The sequence below is a fragment of the Homo sapiens genome, chromosome 6 (assembly GCF_000001405.40).
Source record: "Homo sapiens chromosome 6, GRCh38.p14 Primary Assembly".
In the NCBI taxonomy this organism is placed as follows: Eukaryota; Metazoa; Chordata; class Mammalia; order Primates; family Hominidae; genus Homo; species Homo sapiens.
In genome coordinates, this window is record NC_000006.12 from 140,977,288 (window position 1) to 140,984,531 (window position 7,244).

Consider the following 7,244-nt stretch of genomic DNA (forward strand, 5'->3'; position numbering starts at 1 on the left):
AGAGTAAAGAAATTGGGAGAGTGCTATAGGGGAATAAAAAATCAAGAGAGAGAAATTGTTGATATTAGCCATACTTGAACATGTTTCTGGATGGAAGAAAATTTGCCGGAAAGGTGAGTGTTTGAATATTACAACTGCTGCTGCTACTAGTAATATTATAAGAATTACAAGAGAATCCGCAATTCCATTTGAGAGGACATTAAGCAAAGACATGAGAGGGTGGAGCATTTTCTTAAATCAAGTAAACTAGCATTTGCTAACATATTGCATATGTGCATGTTTATAGGAAACTTCTGGAACAATGTCTAAACCCAAACAATGACGAATAGTAGAACATCCAGACATCATAATTGGCAAAAGAGGAAGTGTCTTGGCAAGCAAACCCTACTTGCAATGTCAATTATTATTTATTCCAACAATTTCAGACACTGAAATTTTGTTTCAGAAATCAGGGCCCTCCTAATCCTGCATTGCTTTAGCCACCTAACTTCCAGTGAATAACTTTCTTTTGTAATCAAGCCAATTTATTTATTTCAACTATTTCCTTCTGCATCCCTACATTATTATTTTTTATTCTTCATCCTTATATCTTTATCTTTGCTTCTCATATTCTTCCTTCACTCTTTCTTGAAATCCCTCTCTTCTTTTGCCAGCAAGTTCTGCAGTATTTCTAAATAAATTCAACTCTATTGTAGTAAGTGATTAGAAATGTGTTACATGTAGTCACCCTTCCTAATTGTCTTGTTTTCAATTTGTGGATGGAAGAGTATTTGTCCTTTGAGCAGCGAGAGAATCTTAAGCCTCTTTTTTTTGCAGGACTTGAAAAAGTACATAGCTGAAAGCTAGAGATATACTCCTCATTTAATAAGCTGCTTTTTAATTGAAAACACAATACTGATATTATATAAATGGTCATCACCTATTTTGCCTGCTATTAAAGTGAAGTATTTCTTGTTTTCTCCTTATTATATAGCTCACTCCCAGATTTTCATCATCTTCACTCGAATGATATCTTTTCAGTGTCATTTCCCTTGACCACTTTATATGTAATCACAACATCTACACACATATTGCTACGCTCCTATCCCCTCCAAATTTTCTTCCTAAAGTATAAAATCATTTATTTATTTATTTTTTATATTCTATATCCTGAATTATACTCTCAATTACATGAATGCCAAGATTTTAATTGGTTTTATTTAGTGATGTATCTTCAAACACCCAGAATGAAGCCTAACATGTAAAAGAAATTCAATAAATATAAACATACCCAGAAATTTATAATTAATCTTATTACCAACTTTTCCTTCTTCCTTTGCATCTCTACATTCTCTTTTTCTTATTTTTGTCCTCTAAATTCAATATTTTCACAAGTGGCCTGCATTAGTCCATTCTCATGCTGCTACTAAAGACATACCCAAGACTGGATAATTTATAAAGGAAAGAGGTTTCATTGACTCACAATTCAGCATGGTGGGGAGGCCTCAGGAAACTTAGAGTCATGACAGAAGGGGAAGAAAACAGGTCCTTCCTCACATGGCAGCTGCAAGACGTGCCAAGCAAAAGAGGGGAAAGCCCTTTATAAAACCATCAGATCTCATGAGAACTCACTCATTGTCATGACAACAGCATGAGGGTAACCGCCTCCATGATTAAATTACCTCCCACTGGGTCCCTCCCATGACACATGGGGATTATGGGAGCTACAATTCAAGATGAGACTTGGGTAGGGAAGCAGCTAAACCATGTGATGACCAAACTACCACCTCAGTTTAGTATATTTATATAAAATGCTATTGTTCTTAAGTATCTCACCAATGCCCGAAAAGATATTTGTGAAGCCCTATTAATTCAAACAAGTAGTATAAGAGAAGTTTAAACTAGAAATAAACTGGAAACACACTTTTTGGAAACTCTTCTCTTAATGAGCCTTGAAGTAAGTTAGGAAACAGCCTTAATTCCTTAGAGCCACTCTGGTTCCATTTAATGTATTACAAGTTCAGTGGTTAAATAGTACCTTAGTGGAGGGAAGCTGAAACAACTTTTTTATCCTAATGGCAAGGGCTAATTTAATTTTTCTTTCTTTAAAGCTGAGAACAAAGTAGGTCAGAGTGATGAATTAAAGCCAAACATAGTACCTTGGCTTGGCATAAAGGGAAAGTTCTGGTCCAGAATTATACAGAATCTGTACTTGTAGTGCTAAATTTGTGACTATGTAGAGTTAGTGACAAGACTTGTGGGAAAGGAGAAATAAAAAGAAATAAGCAATGAGTCCCTTAGAAAATCTAATCAGAAAAAAAATATGATTTTTCTAGAGTTTATAAATTAGGAATTCTTCGATGCCTAAAAGTCACACATTCTTCATTCACTGAGCATGCTACAAGTTATCATGAGCTCATGCCCTGTCTAGAGCTTGCACAGATATGCACCAAGCTTGTCATAATGGAGAAGTATCTTTGACTTGCATTAACCTCAACGGATCTTGATTCATTGTCCAAGCAAACTGATAGTGTAGCATTCTGAATTGATGTCTAAAATAGATGCTGGCACACTACCGTGACTAGCTCTGTCTTTTGTTTGACTGGTTTCAGACAGATTCCAATAGGTTGTCAAGGAATAGACACGGCGAGCCTTGAGACCTGGTTCTGCCAAGGAACAGGAAACCAGAACTCATGGGAGGCTGACCTTGAATTCCCCCACTTGAGCAATAAACACTCAGGAATGTGTTGAGATTGTTTTGTACCAGTGATTTCACTTGGTGAGCAGGCAGGCACATAGCCAGTTGCAGAAAAATCCAGCATAATGAAAAAGAACCAGGAGAGTATGAAAACTCTCTAAGCTTGGTAAATATTATTTCTCAGATCTGGTGGAAACTTATTCTAAGAAGGCATTATCTGGAGCTGTGTACCTCCTTGAGGGCTTTGGGAATTTGGTAGGCTCCCATGATTGGGAGTATGCCACAATGTTTCTTCTTGTAGCTGTCTCGGTTGACGGAGGTTTCTATATCTTCTGTCACTAAATAAAATTTAAACAAATTATTTCACCCTGCGAGTTGACATCTCTGCATCAGTCAGTTCCTACCTTATTGTAACAGGCCCTTGTACTCAAGATCACACAGCAAATTAAAGGTGAAGTCAAATATATAGGTGCAATTTAGTTTTATTAAACTCCAAACTACTTGTCTGCACTACATTCCTTCCTATTCCTGTCATCTTCTCTGAATCCCAAAACAAACAAATCATTAAAAACAAAACTAAGTTAAACTAAAATTTAAATAATTGTAACTTAAAAAGGAAGCACACAAGCTATTTAATATTTTTTAGACTTATCTTTTGACGCATAAACACCAGCCAAGGCTAAATAAATGGAAGACCTATTAAAACTTAGCCTGTTTCTGCTCATGGGAGGATTGAAGCATGAGCATCCATAGATCTCTTGAGCTCCTACTGCAGCTCCCTCTGTCCTCTCATCTTTGTAACTGCTTTTAGCAGTGAAATGTCACGAAATCCCTTCTTCGACAATGATGCAATTAAATTTAATTGATAAAAGTAAGATAAATAAAAAAGCCACACTGTTTGGAAATTTAACACCTCATTTTATAACATCTATTAAGATATAATTCTTGCAGCATAAAACTTGGCCTTTAAAATGTATTAAAAACTAAATTTTAAATAATGAATATATCTCAAAGAGATCACAAGCATAAGTAAAGCATATTTTAAACTGAATGATAATAAAATTGCAACATTTAAAAACTGGGGCAATACTGATGAAATATTTAGAGAAAAATTTATAATCTTAAAGACTTTTAGTAGAGAGAAAGAAATGTTTACTATCAGCTATCAAGTTTTCACCTTAAGAAGCTAGAGGAAAAAAAGCAAATTAAACTCACATAAGCATAAAAGTACAAATAATGAATCTAAGAGCAGAAATCAATGACATAGGTCAGAAAAACAATAGTCTAAGTGAACAAAGCTAAAAGTTATTTTAATGAAAAGATTAATAAAATAGAAAAGTGCCTTGATACACTGATTTGGAAAAAAGAGAGACAGAATACAAATTAACAATATCATAAATAAAAGATTTACTACAAAACATATTATAGGTATTAATAAACACAAGATTTTTTTTAACATGTCAACAAATCATGTCAACAAAATCAACAATTATGATGTTGTATGAACTCCCCAAAAAACACAACTTACTGGAACTGACACAAGAAGAAATTTTTGAAGAAAACTATATAACTGTATATCTGTTAAAGAAATGACTTTACTATAAGTCATTATAAAATGTCCCACAAAAAATTCTAAGCCCTGGTGGTTTTCCTGGTAAATTCTATCAAACATTAGGAAAACTAATATCAATCATACACAAACACTTCCAGAAAGCAGATGATAGAATAAACTTCAAAATTTATTTTATGTGGTCTGCATCATTCTGATACAAAACAAAAAAGAAGCATTACAATAAAGGTACAGAACAATAATTATTATGGATACAAATGCAGAAACTTTTCATAACATATCAGCAAATTGAATTCATCAATATATAAAAAGAAGATAAAATAAAGTAAGAGGATCAGGTAGTATAATTCATTGCATGACTGGAATGACGGAGAACAAAAACATACAATCTTTTTAATAGGTGCAGAAAATTCACTTGGCAAAGTTCAACATTTCCTAATGAAAAGTACAAATAAAAGAGTACTCCCTGAATTCGATAAAGGGCATCTATAAAAAACAAAACAAAACAAAACAAAACAAAAAACTAATGCTAACATCTTACTTAATGGTAAAGTATGGTATGGTTTCCTTCAAAGATTGGGAGGAAGGCAAGTATAGTCACTCAACTTTTATTCAACAGGGTACTGGAAGTTCTAGCCCACGCTATAGGGCAAGGGGAAGAAATTAAGAGACTGAAAAGACAAAAACAAACTGTCTTTTTCACAGCTGATATATCATATGTGATACCTAGAAACTCATAAGGAATCTTCATAAAACTACTAGAACTAATAAATAAATTACTCAGAATTATTGGATACCAGGTAATGTCCTCATCCCTACATGTAAGAATTGACTCTTCCCTTGGGGTGCCATAACTCTCATCATGGTCTCTGTGACATTCCATACCCTTTTTTCCCATATGTCTTTCCTCTTCTATGAACTCTTTGAAGGGAGCATCTATGTTTTATTAGGCTTTGCTTTTCTTGGACTTGGCATAATTTCTCCCTCAGGGAGACACTTAATAAATGTTTATTTTAAGAACAAATAGGTAAGTTAATCTGCCACTTAACTGTGCCTGATGCCTTTGCAAGTAATTTTTACAATTACACTTTGAGTAGAGTTAAAAACAAAAAATGTCAACAAATGTAGTATAAACATCTGATTGTCATTATTAATAATTCATGAATTAGGCATCTTCCCACCTAAATAAAATGTGGTCTGTTGGGCATGTCAGAAAAGTTGGTTTTTGAAGGTAGGTTGAGGAGGAACAAGGAAACAGAATAATACCAAAAAAATGGATTAGTTAACATTAGCTTGCTTCAGTGACTTTCCTCGCAAGGGATAAAGCAGAGGGGACTTCCTTTTCATGTTGGTTCAGGTTGAGTAGGCCCTTTCTGATTGGTTGTTGGGAATCACCTGATTTTAGGAAAAAAAAAAAAAAAAAGGTCTTTTTGGGGATTTTCCTGCTTTCTTTCTTTCTTTCTTTTTTTAATACTTTAAGTCCTGGGATACATGTGCAGAACATGCATGTTTGTTACGTAGGTATACATGTGCCATGGTAAAGTTATAGTTTGATTGCATGGCACTTAGCTTAAGAAACTTGATTTTGATTTGGTCTACTGATGCCTAGCATAGTAGCTCAGTTCACAACAATGACTTCTTATAATTTTATTGAACAGTTTGTGTTATTACCTCAATTTTTTGAAGAAGATCTTGAAGCTAAAAATGGATTTTCAACTAAAAGTTCATCAATTAGCTTGGAATTAACAAAATGAAAGCTTCCTGATTTAAGGGTATTTCTCTTTCTGCTATAAGTTGTTGCCTAAATCAATAGATTGCTCTGTTGTCTTTTATATTATAAGCTGCTGCCTAAATCAATAGATTGCCTTGTTGTACTTTTGAAATTAGTTTACATCTGTTTTTAATTATGAAATAAATTTTCTCTGAAAAAAAAAGGAGGAAACCTTAGTAATGAATAGGCAGCTTCTCCATCAGCAGACCCAGCTTTGTTTCTTGCTAGGCTCGCTATTCCTTATAGGTCATCATGTCCACAAATAACCTGATAAGTTTTTCTATTCTCCACATACCTGGGAACATACCTTGAGATTTCACTACAAATATTTGTTTTAAATTGTCCACTAACCTCCTTAAAGCTCATTATTTTTAATACAATTCTAATACAAGCTTTAAACTCCGTAATATTTTTGCCAATTTTCTTATTTTATTACTGATATAGGAAGAGATCCCTTTTATACCTTATTTGAGTATTTGTTTTATTTAAAGGCAACAGAATGTGAACCTGCAACCTCTTCCTCATTCTCTTCTACTCTGTGGATTCCCCTGCTTTTCGCAAGAAGTAGTTTGATAAATCATGCCATGGAACTATATTAGATATTCTCTCCACATAATTATTTAGTTACTCTGTTCTGCCTTTAGACTATCTTAGAACACATTTATGAATAATTCCTAATTAGTTATTTTTATAGACGTATTAGATATTTTCATTGGGCAGAAATATTGTAGGAAACTAAATACAGTTCAACCAGATTGTCTCTTTTAAATCATGTATTTGTATGGCATCATCACCAATCCACATACACACACTTAAATAATTTTCAGATAATTTAGACCTTTTGCCTTCAGCATTACAGCTCCCCATAGATTACTGTCTAATTTCACAGATAGTTAAGCCCCAACATTGAATCCTGTGCACCTTTGGCTAAACAGAAATCGGTGGGTATCTAATAATTAGAAACTAAAGGGCTTCAACCCCAGCATTGATTCGTTTTCTTATTATTTCTCTGAGCCTGTGAAAGCATTTGATTTTTGTTTCTGGGTTGCATTTGATTTTTGTTTCTGGGTTACATTTGCTTATAGAAAATGGAACTGTCTTTCCGTTTATGAAAATAGACCCTATCCAATTCTGCAGTTGCTTGGTATATGCCTAAATGAGACAGAAGCTTCACTCATAGCTCAGGCATTTTATTTCAACTTTTATTGTTTTTTCATATCATAGTA

The 7,244-nt window shown here is 33.8% G+C and overlaps 1 annotated feature.

The window, feature by feature from the left end:
• Positions 2,465 to 2,759: a silencer, noted in NCBI's record as "tiled region #6593; HepG2 Repressive non-DNase unmatched - State 24:Quies, and K562 Repressive non-DNase unmatched - State 24:Quies". NCBI's record gives its function as "represses a minimal TATA promoter and a strong SV40 promoter by Sharpr-MPRA in HepG2 and K562 cells {active_cell/tissue: HepG2 | K562}" and the evidence as "EXISTENCE:reporter gene assay evidence [ECO:0000049][PMID:27701403]".